General features: G+C 33.5%; 1 protein-coding gene across 21 annotated transcripts in view; it reads left to right on the forward strand.

Moving 5' to 3' along the window:
* Positions 1–16,961, forward strand: part of SPAG16 (sperm associated antigen 16) — a 1,126,038-nt gene that overhangs the window by 103,590 nt on the left and 1,005,487 nt on the right. Inside the window, exon 10 of one of the 21 annotated variants that reach the window (XM_011511827.3) lies at positions 8,454–13,446. The exons of 19 other annotated variants lie outside the window; for them this stretch is intronic. In XM_011511827.3, the coding sequence (XP_011510129.1) occupies positions 8,454–8,639 (186 nt within the window). In that variant the 3' untranslated portion in view covers positions 8,640–13,446. Of the gene's footprint in view, positions 1–8,453; positions 13,447–16,961 lie in introns of those variants that run through there. One more of the 21 variants, XM_011511837.4, reaches the window with a different exon arrangement.

Genomic DNA, 16,961 nt, shown 5'->3' on the forward strand with positions numbered 1-16,961 from the left:
GGATTGGACAGTAAATTATAGTTAAGTTGGGTCAATTTCAACTCTTAGTATATCAGCACCTACCTTCAGCCACCCTAGCTCTGTGGCAGGCAGCTGCACACAAATTCCAGGAGTACCTTGCAGGAGCCTGGGTGGGCAAAAAGCATCCTGTCCTGCAAATATCAGGGATCTGTGCTCTTATCTCTAACTACTGCTTTTTATCATAGAGGTGCAGACAAAGAGGGTTATAGCAATTGTTGTTTTATCTTACTCCATTATTCACCCTTGTCTCCCTCTCTAGCTGAAGTGATTTCCAGGGACTTAAAGGGCCAAGTCTCCTTTTCCCACCTTCGTTTTTCTCATTCCCCACTTTGGGGAGCCAAACATTAAAGTCTATGACATTCAGAAGCAACTGCATATATGGGGAAAATTAGAAAGTGACCACACAAGCCTGGGGATAGGTGGAGGCTCAGAAAAGTCCTGAGAAAACAGTAAGGTTACTGATCCTTGACCAGAGACAGTCCATAACAATAAATTTTTTTAAAAAATAAATAAACACAAACAATAGTAAAAAACCCAGCAAACCCTGGGGAAGGAGGAGAATCTGATTTCCAGACTCCAAATTACAACACAAAATCATTTGTATTTCTATACACTAACAATAAACAATCAGAACAGGAAATTATCAAAGCATTTTTATTTAAAGTAGTGTCAAAAGAATAAAGTACTTAGGAATTTGTCAAAGAGATGAAAGACTTGTACAATGAAAGCTAAAAAACATTGCTGAGGGAAATTAAAGAAGACATAAATAAATGTAAACATATCCTATGTTCACAATTTCTATCAAAATCCCAAAGACCTTTTTTTTGCAAAAACATAAAAACCCATCCTAAGTTTCGTATAGTCTCAAGGGACACTGATTAGCCCAAACAATCTTGCAAAAGAAGAACAAACTTGGAAGACTCATACTTTCTTATTTCTAAACTACTGCAAAGCTACAGTAATCAAAACAGTATGGTACTGGCATAAAGACAGACATATAGACCAATGGAATAGACTAAACAGCCCAGAAATAAACCCTCACATATATGATCAAATGATTTTGACAATAGTACCAAGACCAATCAATGGGGAAAGACAGTCTTTTTACCAAATTGTGCTGGGAATACTGGGTATCTACATGCAAAATAATAAAGTTGGACCCTTACTAATACCATATACAAAAATTAACTCAAAATAATCAAAGACCTAAATATAAGACACAAAACTATAAAACTCTCAGAAGAAAATATAGGACAAAAGTATCATGGCATTGATTTTAACAATGATTTCTTAGATATGACACAAAAGGCACAGGCAACAATAGAAAAACTGGACTTTATAAACATTTTAAAATTTGGGGCATCGAAAGACTGTCATCAGAGTAAAAAGGCAACCAATAGAATGGGAGAAAATATCTGTAATCATATATCTGGCAAGGAATTAATATACAGAATATATAGAGAATTCCTAAAACTCAACAACAACAAAAAGTCCAATCCAAAAAAGGACTTTAATAACACATTTCTAGATTGAAGATATATAAATGGTAAAGTACATGAAAAGATGCTTAACATCATTAATCATTAAGGAAATACAAATCAAAACTGCAGTAGGGTATCACTTCAGACTAATAAGGGTGGTTTCCATTAAAAACAAAAAGAAAGCTGGTGAGGACATAAGTTAATTGGAACCATTGTTCACTATTGGCAGAATGTAAAGTGGTATAGTCACTATGGGAAAACAGTATGACAGTTCCTCAAAAAATAAAAAATAGAATTACCATATGATCTCACAGTTTGCACTTCTGCCTATATACACAAAAGAATTGAAAGCAGCATGTTAAAAAGATATTTTACACCCATGTTCATAGCAGTGTTACTCACAGTAGCTGAAACATGGAGACAATTCAGTGTTCATTGGCAGCTGAAGGAATAAGCAAAATGTGGTATATACATACAATGGAATATTATTCAGCCTTAAAAAGGAAGGAATTTCTAGCAAATTCCACAACATTGATGAAGCTTGAGGACATTATGCTAAGTGAAATAAACCAATAACAGAAAGACAAATACTATATGATTCCGTGTATATGAGGTACTTTGAGTGGTGAAAATTATAAATACAGAAGTAGAATGATGTTTGTTAGGGCTGGGGGAGAGGGAATGAGGAGTTACTGTTTAATGAGTATAGAGTTTCAGTTTTACAATGAAAAGAATTCTAGGAGATGGGTGAGGATAATTGTTGCAGAAAGTTATATAAATGCATTTAAGACCATTGAACTGTATCCTAAAATTGGTTTTATGTTATGCCATTAATAACTTATGATGCATTTTTATTACAATAAAAACATTATTAAAGAAAGATCATTTCCATATGGCTAGGAACAGAAGGCATGTTAGGAAGGATACATAAACATTGCAGTATGTACAACAAATATGTTAAAACATTTTATATCTTAATTCAAATGTCAAAGGTTAAAAGAAAAAATAACTTATGTTTTGGGAAATATTCACATCAACTTCATATTTAAAGAAGATTTTAAAAACGTTTAAAGCAGCAATTTAAAAGCCTACAGTAAAATTATTAGATTATTTGCTCAGGCAGCAGCTGGTTTAGCAACATTTATTCAGAGCTTATTATAAGAAAAATATCTTTTGCTGAAGTTTTTAAAAAATAGCTTCTAATTGCCATTAATAACTTATGATGCATTATTTTTTAATCATTTAATTTTATGTTTATTAATCAATAATACATGTTATATACAAATGGCTTTTCAAAGCTTGGTTTATACTACCAATATAGCTATTAAAATAACAGCTTTCTCATAAGGTATGAATGAGTTTTCAAAAGCTATAGCTGAGTTTTCATTTTTGCCCATTTATTTTAATTCCTTTTGATCTTTAGAAATTATATGGCCAGGCGCGGTGACTCATGCCTGTAATCCCAGCACTTTGGGAGGCCAAGGTGGGTGGATCACGAAATCAGGAGTTCAAGACCAGCCTGACCAATATGGTGAAACCCCGTCTCTACTAAAAATACAAAAATTAGCTGGGCATGGTGGCACGTGCCTGTAATTCCAGCTACTTGGGAGGCTGAGGCAGGAGAATAACTTGAACCCAGGAGGTGGAGGTTGCAGTGAGCTGAGATGGCGCCACTGCACTCCAACCTGGGCGATGGAGCGAGACTCCGTTTCAAAAAAATAAATAAATAAATGATACATAATATTTTGTTAAGGGAAAAAAATATTTTAGCTTATAACTTATCCTTGTGTAAATTAACTATCATAATCAATTTTTTGTTTACCTTAGCATCTGTTAGCAAATTGTATTATGTACTTTGGCAAATATTCTTTTAGAGTATGAATTAGTTTGAAGCCTAATATGTATTTTAGATCCAGGTCTACCACTTATTACCTGTACAAACATGGGCACATTACCTAATTTCTATGTTTCCATCTCTATAAACTGGGAAGAATACCATGTTTATCAAAGGGTTTTTTGTTAGTATTCAATGAAATAATATATGTAAGATATCTAACACTGTGCTTATAACAGGATTTAGACTCAAGTAATTTTGTTTCGATAGAAAAGGTTATTTACTAAGGGAAGATAAAAGATCTCTAATTTTTAATACTATTTTTCTCTTTTAAGTGTGACATAAGTTACACTGAATATGTCTGCTAAAGACTTCCAGATTCATTACTTTTTAACTACTTTAGCCATTTTATTATGCAATGGCATGAACAATTTACCAGTAGTTTTCCCTGATTGTGAGTATAGTTTCCCTGTTTCAGATTATATACAAATAGAAACATGGAGATTAGAGAATTACGGTGGCTAATTCTGATGTTCCAATGTTTGCATGTCCCCTGTTACATATTTAAAAGTGCTTCTGTGCTCATAAAACCTGTACACAACTCTCAGTTTCTTTAGGGCTATTCTATATTTTGATTTCTTTAATGAAAAAATGGAATGTTATTTAATATCTTTATCATAACACCTGCCAGTTATTATATAAAATAGGTGGTAATTTAAACGTAACCATATGCAAATGTGAAAAGGAGAGAAAGGTTTCCTCTACTCTGATACAATGGTATATGCCATTGTGTTGTGTTATGTCACCCTGGCATGATAATGGCACACTTCAACTAATCCACTTAAGTGCTGATACTTTGCATTTATTGTAGAGTTTAGTTGCATTTAGTACAGTATTCTTGAATGTTTCTTTGCAGCTATTATTATTACTTTTTGCCTAAAGTGTCATTGCATAATGCAGAGTGACTCTGGCATCAACCAAGGATCTGGGTGCTATTTTGCAGGATTTGTAAATATTACACCAAAATGTTAAATAATTTTATTTATCACACATGGAGTTTCTAAAAAAGAATTTAGTTTTACATTTTTTCAGTTTGAAAATATGGAAGTTGGTAAGAAATCTATAACCATATGCAAATGGGAATTTTAATACTAATAATATGAAAATAGTGTTGAGGCTGGGCACGGTGGCTCACACCTGTAATCCCAGCACTTTGGGAGGCCGAGGTGGGTGGATCACAAGGTCAGGAGTTCAAGAATAGCCTGGCCAACATGATGAAACCCTGTCTCTACTAAAAATACAAAAACATTAGCCAGGCGTGGTGGCGGGTGCCTGTAATCTCAGCTACTCGGGAGGCTGAAGCAGAGAATTGCTTGAACCCGGGAGGCAGAGGCTGCAGTGAGCCGAGATTGCACTACTGCACTCCATCCTGGGTGATGGAGCGAGACTCTGTCTCTTAAAAAAAAAAAAACAGTGTTGAATATCTTCAGCAGTTGAAATAATTCATTTAAACATCTCTGAGGAAATATATTTACCAAAATATTTATTTATAATATCATGCCATGTTAAATAGATAAGAATTAAGCCAACATATTTATAATTCTGTGCTAAGTAGAAAATCAAATAAACAGAAATACTTACATTATTACACTAAATATATTCTGCTTACATAAAGAGAAGCAAATGTGAATCAGAATAAAAGTAATTAAGAGATACTAATTATTCTTAGGTTTTAAACTCTGCTCCCTATTTTTGGATTATGCATGTATAGCCCTGGATCATTTGAAAATGCATAACTGAGACTGCAGTAAAAAAAAAATGCTGAGGATTTACAACATTTTGAAAACTTTGGTCATTATAAATACTTACATTAGCTATATTTCAACTGTTGATTTATGAAAAATAAGAATTTGTAGATTAAATATAGCATAATGAAAAAATAATATTCAATTAATGTTTTAGTTAAAATATATCACATATATTTGAATATAATATATAAATTAAAATATATTTTTAAAATGAAAATTACAAAATACATATGTAGTCTTCAACTTGCTTTTTTGATTCGATTTTTGTTTCTAAGAGTCTTTAGTGTTGCTGTAGGTGGCTCTAGGTCATTTCACAATATTTACTTTTTTGTATTATTGTTACAATGTTCAGTTGGTTTCCAATGTCTTGGAAATAAACAGTGCTGCCAAGAATATTCTTGTATGTCTCCAAGTGCATTAGTGGAAGATTTTCTGTAGGACACAAACCTAGGGGTGGAATTGGGGATGAGGGTTTTATGAAATAGTGTCATTTTTTTTTCAAACCAGTTGAATATATTTATAAACCCACACAGAGAGCTCCTACTACTCTATATCTTTCTCTGTATTCATTATTGCCAGGGTTTTTTATTTTTCCCAAGCAAATGAAATATGTCGCCTCACTAGGTCTTAATTTCTATTTTTCTGATTACTAATTAAATTGAACGTGTTCTTTTTCATATGTTAGCTTCTGTGAAATAACAGTTCATATCTTTTGCAATTTTTTTCCATTAGATTGTTGGCCCTTGAAGTATACTTGAAATGTATAATTGACATTAATTTTGTGATCAATTCTATTAATGCGGATATCTTGCTCCACATGGTGACTTATATTTTCTGTTTCTTTATTATTTTTTCAGTGAATATAAGTTCTTCATTATAATGTAGTAAAACTAATCAGTACTTTCTTTTATGATAGCACTTACTGTCATTTGATTAAGAAACCCTTTTTTATCTCAAGATCAGAGTACTATGTTCATATCTTTTTTAGCATTTTTCTTGTTTATTTTTTCCTTTACCAACCAATTCAGACATAAAAACAGATATTATCTTTCATAAACCCAATATAATTATCTAAATCAAGAAATTAACATTGATAAAATACTTTTATTTTAATCTATAGAAATTATTTAAATTTTACTGTGTTGTACTGTCTCTGTAATTTCTTAAAACTAATATTTTTACTTTGAGATAGCTTTAGATTCACATACATATGTAAGATATAAATCAGAGAGATCCCATACAGTCTTTACCCAGTTTCCCCTAACGGTTACATCTTGGAAAACTATAATATAGTATCAAGATTAGGATGTTGACATTGATATAATCAAGGTATGGAATAGTTCTGCCTGCCAGAGGATCCCTGGTGTTGCCCTTTTATAGCCACACTGATTTCCCTTTAGCTCTGTCCATGCCTAACCCCAGGAAACCACTAATCTTTTCTTCATTTCTGTAATTTTTTTAATTTTAAGATTGTTATTTAAATGGAATTATATAATATTTAACTTTTGGGGGTTGACTGTTACACTTGGCATAATTCCACTGAGTCATCCAAGATGTTGTGTGGATCAGTAGCTGATCATGTTATTAAATTGCTGAGTAGTTGTTGATTCTCTTTAAAATATTTGGGAGAATTCACCAGTGAAACCATATGGACTTGGGATTTTTTGGATGGGAGCTTTTTAATTATTAATACAAATTTAATTTCTTTAATGCCTATATGACTATTCAGATTATCTCACTTTACTTGAGTTTTGGTAGTCTGTGGTTTTTTAGGAATTGTTCCATTTCATCCAAGTTGTTAAATTTATGGGCATAAAGTTGTTTATAGTGTTCTCTTATTATTCTTTTAATAACTGCAAGATCTATAGTGATACCACTGTTTTATTCTTGATATTTGTGATTTGTTTCTTCTCCCATTTATTTTTGTCAGTCTTGCTATATAGCAATTTATCAGTTTTATGGACTTTTTTTCAAACAACCAGCTTTTTTGTAAACTTTTGTATTAATTTCCTATTTTCAATTTCATTGATTTTTGCTTTTATCTTTATTTCCTGTCTTCTTCTAGCTTTGGGTTTATTATGTTCTTCCTTTTAGACTTTTTTGAGGTAACAACTTAAATTATTGATTTGACTTTTTAATCTTGTAATGTAAGAATATAGTGCTATAAATTTTCCTCTCAGCATTGTTTTTGCTGAATCCCACATATTTTGTTATATTGTATTTTTGTTTTTATTCAGTTTTGAATATACTTTACTTCCATCAAGTCTTCCTCTTTGACGTATAGATTATTTAGAAGTGTGCTGTTTAATTTCCAGGTGTTTAGAGATTTTCCGGTTTGATTTCTAGTTTGATTCCATTATGGTTAGAGATCACATTGCCTTTTGTTGCTAGATTGGGAGTCAGGGCTGGCTCACCTTCTTCTGTTGGGTGGTGAATGATAAAATGCCCTATCATTATGCTCTTCCTCCAGTCCTGGAATCTCTGATCATTTTACCTCCCTGTTTCCACCTTTCAGAGTTCCCCTTAGATTGTCTCTTGCATCATTTCCAGGGTTTATAGTTTAGTTACCAGGGAAGAATGGGGGACAGTTGAGTCTACACCACTTTGGCTGGATAGAACATCACTTCAATTTTGCTTTACAATTTTAAATATTTAATTTCCTTGAAATTGATTTTTCATGTAGAGTATAGTAGGAATCCAGTTTCACTTTGTTTTATTCAGATAATTGCTGTTTCAACACAATTATATGGTTCTTCAGTGGTCTGAAGTATCAGCTCTAACTGTTATTTAACTAGTTTCCATGCATACATGAGTTTGCTTCTGGACTTTCTTTTATGTTTCACTGGTGAGTTTGTTTATTCCTGTGGCAGTAGCATACCTCTAGATTATTTTAGTTTTTAACATATTTGGATATATCCTAAGGTAATTATCTTCACCTTACTATTATTCTTCTTCAGAAGTGTTTTAGCTAGTCTTATACCTTTATTTATCCCTATAAATTTAATAGTAGGCTTGCTAAATTCCTAAAAAAATTCTCATAACATTTATTGAAATATTTTATATTTTTATACATTAATATGGAGATTCTAGCATCTTTTCGATATTGAATCTTTCAATGCGTGAATGAACATAGTTTATCTCCCCACATATTTGGACATTCTTTAACATCTTTCAATAACAATTTTATAATTTTCCCCATGCAGATCTTGTACATGTTTTTGTTAAATATAATTCTAAGTACCTTATAGTTTTGCTCTTGTATATGATATCTTTTTAAATAAATAAGCTTGTTCCTTTGTTGGCTTTGAGGCCTCCTTCAACAGAAATCAAGAGAAAGCTTATGAGCTCAGTGCGAGAACAGCCCTCTGTCTAACTCCATGCCTCCATCAGCAGCAGTGGACAGGGAACTCTCAAACTTGGAATAAGACCGTACCTCTGCAGGACACTATTGGCAGGAGACAAGAGAACAACAGTGCACACCAGCACATCGACTAAGACTGCCCATCTTCAGGACATTTGTCAGCAGGAGCCAAATGGGAAATTCTGAGCAACAGGTGTTCCTGGCTTGTTCTCCTCCAATCCTCCCTTTCGTCAACACCCATACCCTTTATCTGTGTTCTTTACAGTCTTCATAAAAGGAGTCCAGGACTTCCAGTTAATCATTTATCCCAGAACTCTAATCCTCCGTAAGGATCCTTTTTTTTTGACCCAATATTTCCCTCTTCTGACTCCCCAAACCCTTTCTTTGTACTCTATTGAATTCAAGGTCAGTCAACAAAAAAGTCCTTTATATTTTAATATTTTACTATGAGTGTTCCCTTCACCTTCTGTGCTAATGAAAATCTAGATTTTCCTTCATGATAGTTTCCCCTGCATCCATTGAGGTTCTGGTAAATGTTTTAACAATCAACTCTTTGGAAGAAGAAAACAAAAGCCTTGATTTGTATAGTGTTTTCCAGTTTCTGTGCTGTTAAACACTCACACCATAGCCATTTAAGCTATCTTCTCACTTCACTGAATAAGGAGCCTGGGACTTGATGTCCACACTCAGCTCTCCTAAGCCAGTATGAGAGAGCAACAACACATCACATCTTACAGTACCTTTAAGGGTAACTGTTCTCTCTACTCCACTCAAATGTAGCATAGGTCCTGAAAGTCAGATAAGTGTCCCCTTTGCTTCTCATTGCTGCTTTCAGTTTGTTCTCCCTCCTTCATGAACATACCCTTCCGTGAATCTCATGTCATCAGATTTGCCCACTCATTGTACCTTTTTGTTATGGGCACCTCTTCTCACCTCATCTTTTTGTCAATTAAAAAAATTAATCCCCGTGATATTGTCACTTTCTTAAAAGTGATTCCTCCATAATGCTTCATGATTGAAATGTTGATATGGATGATCCTTCTAACTCTCTGAAGTTTCAGTTCCTTGACAGCCTCTCCTCCAGTGATCCACTTAACTCACTTTCATAGTCATTTCCTAGGCCTTGTTATTGCAAGTAACTGCTATAATTTTTCATTGCCTCTATTGTTTGCTCCCTACCCCCCGAATCTCTGCATACTGAGGTGTTTCAAGGCTCAGTTCTTGACCCTCTGTTGGTTGTCTTCACTCCCTAGGTGATCTCATCCAGTCTTATGGCTTTAAATTCTGCCTATATATTAATTATCCCTTAATTTACATCTTCAACTGAGATCTCTTCTCTGAACTCTAGTTTCATATATCCAACTGCTTACTGAACACCTCCAGTTAAATGTCATTTCTTCATTTCAATTATCTCCCCTTCCATGTTCTCCTTCTTAATTAATGGAAACTCCACACTTTAGTTACTTAGCCAAAAAACTCTAGAGTCATCCCTGAGACGTCTCTCTCTCTCACATCTCACATCTGATAAGAAAAAGAAATTATTTTGGCTCTATCTTTGAAAAAATATCTACATTTTCATTTTTTCTTACCACTAGCACTTTTGCTCTCTGTTTTTTTTTTTTTGCCACCGTCTGTAGTTTGTATTATTGCAAAAGCCTCCTAACTGATCTCTGCTTTTGTCTTTACTTTTCTTCAGTCTCTTTTGAACACAGCAGCCACAGTCATCTTCTTAAAACATAAGTCTGTCCATGACATTTCTCTGCTGAAAATTTTCCAGTAACCTCCCATCTTACTGAGTTACAGGTAAGGTCATTATAACCTCTGAGGCCCTACATTACCTAGATCCCTTTTACCTCTCTGACATTATCTCCTGCTACCCTCCCATCTTTTGCTCAATTGCAGGCACACTAGCCTCCTACAAATTCTACTTATTTATAGAACACTGTAGGTATGCCCCACCTTGAGGCTCTTGCACTTGAGTTTTTATCTTCTGTCTGTGTTATTTTCCTTCAGATAATTCAGATGGCTCATCTCTCACTTTATTTAAAGCTTTACTCAAATGTTCCCTTTTCAGAGAGACTTTTCATAGCCATCCAATCTAAATTTTAATGCTGCCTCTAATTCACTGGCACTTCTTTGGCCTCTATCCTACTTTAATTTTTCTTTTTGCCTATCTTACATATCTCTCATATGCTATGTTGTACTTATTAACTCATTGTATCACTTCCCACTAGAATGTAAGTCCCATGAAAGCAGGAATATTTATTAATTGTATTCACTGCTATATTCTCAGTGCCAGAAAAATGCCTGGCAAATAGTAATTATCCCATAAATATGTAAATTTGAAGGAATGCATAAATTAAAAAATGTGTTTTGTTAGTTGCTATTGTATAGATATGCATTGATTACTACAAGTTGATCAGAAATAGAGTGTTTCTGCTAAACCCCCTGTTTCTATAATTTGTCTATAGGCTTTTTGGGAATTTTCTTTGTAAGTAGTATCATCTGTGAAAAATAATAGTTGTGACTTTCATTTTTCAATTCTAAAAATTTTTATTTGTATTTCTTATATTTGTGCTTTGTCTAGGTCCTCCAGAAAGTTAAATAGAAGTGGTTAAATAGTGGTGGTTATACTATTTGTGATTTTAAAGGTGATGCATCTGATGTTTCAACACAAGGAATGATATTTATTGTCTTTGGTGGTTATTCTTTATCAAGTTGAAAAAATTTGTTTTCCTTTGATATTTAAAGTTTGTGTTTTACCATGAGTATATTAATTTTTTTGACCATAAGTGATTGGTAATTTTATCATGTTTAAGTTTTAAGATTTTATTTTATCATGAATAAGTATTGTATTTTCTGCTTCTGAGACTGTTTTCTCCATTAATATTTTAATGTGGTAAATGTTGCCATGGATTTTAAAATGTAAACATTCTCTTTCATTCCTGGAATAAAACTAATGTATTCATCATGTGTTATTTGAGTTACATAACACTGGACCTAGTTAATCATTTTTTCATAGGATGCTTACTTCTAGTTTATGAATAAAATTGATCTTTAATTTTCCTGTTCAGTCACTGTCTTTTTATAATTTTAGTATCATTGAATAAGTTGTGGAATAGTTCCTTTCTTCTATTCTTTGAAAGATTTTTATACCCTGGAAGACCTATTCCTTAAATGTATGGTAGAAGTCTTCTGTAAAACTAATTGGAACTGTTATATATTTATAGGAAGATTTTATACTGTGGATTCAGATTTCTTTGTAATGTAATAGAAGTTATTTCTTCCTTAATCAATTTTTATAAATTCTGAAGTAATATGCTTACATGAATATGACCATTTCATCTGAGTTTTAAATTTACTGGCTTAAAATATTTATCATATTTTTTATTATCTTTTAAATCTCAAATGGATCCATAATTATATTCTCTTTAATTTGTGAATTCTATTTCTTGCCCTCCCTTCCAACAGTTTTCCCCTCCCTTCCCATCTCACATCATTCTTCCTGTAAATATATAAATTTTGTTGGTACTTTTAAAGATCCAAGCTTTGGATTTTATAATCATTATGTTTAGCTTTTTTCTTGTATAACTTTGTAGTTTCATTGTTATGATCTTCTTCTGCCTATAGTCTTTGAGTTTATGCTTTGTTTCTTTTTCCAGCTTCTTAAGTTGATACATAACTCATTAATGGTTGGCTTTTCTACTATTTTAAGTACTTAATACTATTAATTTTCCCCAAATACTGTTTCAACTGCATCCCACAGATGTTTATATGTAGCATTTTAATTTTTGTTTAGTTTTAAGTATTTTAAGGTTTCCATTATGGTTTGTTCTTTGTCCTGTGGCTTATGTAGAGGACATTTTCAAATTTACATATGCATGGGTTTTGGGTTATTTTTTTATTTGGGTTATTATGTATTTGTAGTTGAAATAAATCATGGTCAGAATGCATGGTTTGTATGAAACCAATTCTTGAAATTTCTTGGGAGTTGCTATGGCAGAGATTTCTAGTTTTCTACCAAAAAATGTTTTCTTTATTCCTGTAGTTTTCATGATATAGCTGGGCATATAGTTAGGTACCTGTATTTTTCAGTATCCTGTACACCTAGATGTTACCATGAAACTAAATGTTGCCAGTGGAATTTGCACTTAATAGTTGTGTGTTTGTGGAATTACCTTTCAGAAATATTTACTCCCTCCCATCATTTTAAAGAAAGGATTCTACTTCCCTGATTTTTTTAGTCTTTGTTTTTTTCTTTTTTTTGAGACAGGGTGTCACTCTGTCACCCAGGCTAGAGCTCAGTGGCATGATCGCGGCTCACAGTAGCCTCGACCTCCCAGGGCTCAGCTGATCCTCCCACCTCAGCCTTCCAAGTAGCTGGGACTACAGGCCTGCACCACCACACCTGGCTAATTTTTATATTTTTTTGTCAAGATAGAGTTTTGTCATGTTGCTCAGGCTGGTCACAAACTCCTGGACTCAAGAGATCTGTCTGTCTTGGCCTCCCAAAGTGCTGAGATTACAGGTGTGAGCCACTGCACCCAGCTGTTTCCTGATTATTGATGTAGAGCTTGGCCTTGGCCATGTAACTTATTTTGGTCAATGATAATTTGAGAAACCTGACTCTACAGAAGCTTGATATATGCTTGCACATTTAGGTTTGCTCTGTCTGCCATGGGCATGAAAAGAATGCGGCCATTTCCCTTGATAATATATGTTCTTCAGAAACATTAGATAATGTCATAATGCATTATTACTTGGATATTTCACAATGTATTTTATGTTCCCATGTCTACTCATTTTGTTTATTTCCGTTGTTTTGCTGTTTCAAATAATTCTATGAGGCAATTCTTATACATTAAATTCTGTTCATATCTTATTGTTTCTTTGGTATAAAACTCAAGAACTGGTGATCTTGGATTAAAGGATATAAACAAGTGTTTGTTCTATTCTTCATTTTTACAGTGAAATACAAAAAATCTCCTTTAAAAAGCTACTCCTTGCATTTCATGTTAGTATTTGCCTGGTACATCTTTTTTCATCCCTTTATTTTCAACATTTCTGTAATATGTTTAGTTGATGTTTCTAGGAATTAGTATATAGTGGGCAGTCTCTTTCATTTATCTGGTGATTTTGTCCACTTATATTTATTTAAGTGTTTTCCACTTATTTTGATTATTCATGTTTTTGGACGTGTTTCTACCATCTTATTTTTTGCTTTATGTTAATTTATCTTTTTATGCTTGCATTTATCTTTCCTTGCTTTATAATACATTGATTTGTTTTCACTATGTATTTTTCTCTTTCAGTGTTTGCTCTGAAAAAATTTAGCATGCACATGTAATACAATCTAAAATTAATTACTTGGATAATAGAAAAACTTCAAACGTTTTAAATAAGATCAAAACACTTCCTATTTACATATATTTTTGTCTGGTCATATATTTTTTAATATAATGAAACATTATTATTTAAGAAAGGTAATTTATAAAGACAATGCTTATTTCAATTTATCTACAAATTTACTAATTTTATTTTTCTAACTGGTTTTAGGATCTCATATTATCTTTTTTTGCCCAAGTTTCGTCATAATAGGTATAATTTTTTAAAAATTTATTTCATGGACTGTATTATGTTTCCTGTATTTAGGTGGCATGTCTTTTATCATTTCTCAGAATTCACACTCATGATTGCAGTAAATATTTCCTTTCCTCCATTAATAAAAATTCATTCCTTTCAGAGATGCAATTAGATATGTTATACTATCTAATTCTATCTGCCATATTATTTAAACTCTCTTTTACATTGTTTATATTCTTATCTCCTTATGCTCAATTCCCAAAAATTTATTTATAGTTTTTTTTAAATTTTATTATTATTATACTTTAAGTTTTAGGGTACATGTGCACAACGTGCAGGTTTGTTACATATGTATACATGTGCCATGTTGGTGTGCTGCACCCATTAACTTGTCATTTAGCATTAGGTATATCTCCTAATGCTATCCCTCCCCCCTCCCCACACCCCACAACAGTCCCTGGAGTGTGATGTTCTCCTTCCTGTGTCCATGTGTTCTCATTGTTCAATTCCCACTTATGAGTGAGAACATGCGGTGTTTGGTTTTCTGTCCTTGCGATAGTTTACAGAGAATGATGGTTTCCAGTTTCATCCATGTCCCTACAGAGGACATGAACTCATCATTTTTTATGGCTGCATAGTATTCCATGGTGTATATGTCCCACATTTTCTTAATCCAGTCTATCGTTGTTGGACATTTAGGTTGGTTCCAAGTCTTTGCTATTGTGAATAGTGCCGCAATAAACATAATGTGTGCATGTGTCTTTATAGCAGCATGATTTATAATCCTTTGGGTATATACCCAGTAATGGGATGGCTGGGTCAAATGGTATTTCTAGTTCTAGATCCCTGAGGAATCGCCACACTGACTTCCACAATGGTTGAACTAGTTTACAGTCCCACCAACAGTGTCAAAGTGTTCCTATTTCTCCACATCCTCTCCAGCACCTGTTGTTTCCTGACTTTTTAATGATCGCCATTCTAACTGGTGTGAGATGGTATCTCATTGTGGTTTTGATTTGCATTTCTCTGATGGCCAGTGATGATGAGCATTTTTCATGTGTTTTTTGGCTGCATAAATGTCTTCTTTTGAGAAGTGTCTGTTCATATCCTTCGCCCACTTTTTGATGGGGTTGTTTGTTTTTTTCTTGTAAATTTGTTTGAGTTCATTGTAGATTCTGGATACTAGCCCTTTGTCAGATGAGTAGGTTGCAAAAATTTTCTCCCATTCTGTCGGTTGCCTGTTCACTCTGATGGTAGTTTCTTTTGTTGTGCAGAAAATGTTATCCAGCATATAAACAGAACCAAAGACAAAAACCACCTGATTATCTCAATAGATGCAGAAAAGGCCTTTGACAAAATTCAGCAACCTTCATGCTAAAAACTCTCAATAAATTAGGTATTGATGGGTCGTATCTCAAAATAATAAGAGCTATCTATGACAAACCCACAGCCAATATCATACTGAATGGGCAAAAACTGGAAGCATTCCCTTTGAAAATGGGCACAAGACAGGGATGCCCCCTCTCATCATTCCTATTCAACATAGTGTTGGAAGTTCTGGCCAGGGCAATCAGGCAGGAGAAGGAAATAAAGCGTATTCAATTAGGAAAAGAGGAAGTCAAATTGTCCCTGTTTGCAGATGACATGATTGTATATCTAGAAAACCTCGTCGTCTCAGCCCAAAATCTCCTCAAGCTGATAAGCAACTTCAGCAAAGTCTCAGGATACAAAATCAATGTACAAAAATCACAAGCATTCTTATACACCAATAAGAGACAAACAGAGAGCCAAATCATGAGTGAACTCCCATTCACAGTTGCTTCAAAGAGAATAAAATACCTAGGAATCCAACTTACAAGGGATGTGAAGGACCTCTTCAAGGAGAACTAAAAACCACTGCTCAAGGAAATAAAAGAGGATACAAACAAATGGAAGAACATTCCATGCTCATGGGTAGGAAGAATCAATATCATGAAAATGGCCATACTGCCCAAGGTAATTTATAGATTCAATGCCATCCCCATCAAGCTACCAATGACTTTCTTCACAGAATTGGAAAAAACTACTTTAAAGTACACATGGAACCAAACAAGAGCCCGCATTGCCAAGTCAATCCTAAGCCAAAAGAACAAAGCTGGAGGCATCACTCTACCTGACTTCAAACTATACTACAAGCCTACAGTAACCAAAACAGCATGGTACTGGTACCAAAACAGAGATATAGACCAATGGAACAGAACAGAGCCCTCAGAAATAATGCTGCATATCTACAACTATCTGATCTTTGACAAACCTGACAAAAACAAGCAATGGGGAAAGGATTCCCTATTTAATAAATGGTGCTGGGAAAACTGGCTAGCCATATGTAGAAAGCTGAAACTGGATCCCTTCCTCACACCTTATAAAAAAATTAATTCAAGATGGATTAAAGACTTAAATGTTAGACCTAAAACCATAAAAACCCTAGAAGAAAACCTAGGCAATACCATTCAGGACATAGGCATGGGCAAAGACTTCATGTCTAAAACACCAAAAGCAATGGCAACAAAAGCCAAAATTGACAAGTGGGATCTAATTAAATTTATTTATTCTTAATTGTCCAGTTCTCTTTCTATATGTTAAATCTTTTTACAAATGCTTTGTATTTTTCTAATGAGTAATTGTATGTTTTACTTCTAAAGGTCATATTTGATTCTTTAAAATTTTTTTTTAATTATTGGTAGCTCCTTTTTACTTGAACTTATTTGTGTGTATACTTTTTGTTTAACCATTTCTAGGATTATGCTTCCAAAGCTTATGGCTGACCTAAAGCTTACTCTCCAAATTGCAGTTCTGGTTTTGGCATTTGGCAACATACCCCAACAGTAAGCATG

The sequence above is a fragment of the Homo sapiens genome, chromosome 2, assembly GCF_000001405.40.
Source record: "Homo sapiens chromosome 2, GRCh38.p14 Primary Assembly".
Classification (NCBI taxonomy): domain Eukaryota; kingdom Metazoa; phylum Chordata; class Mammalia; order Primates; family Hominidae; genus Homo; species Homo sapiens.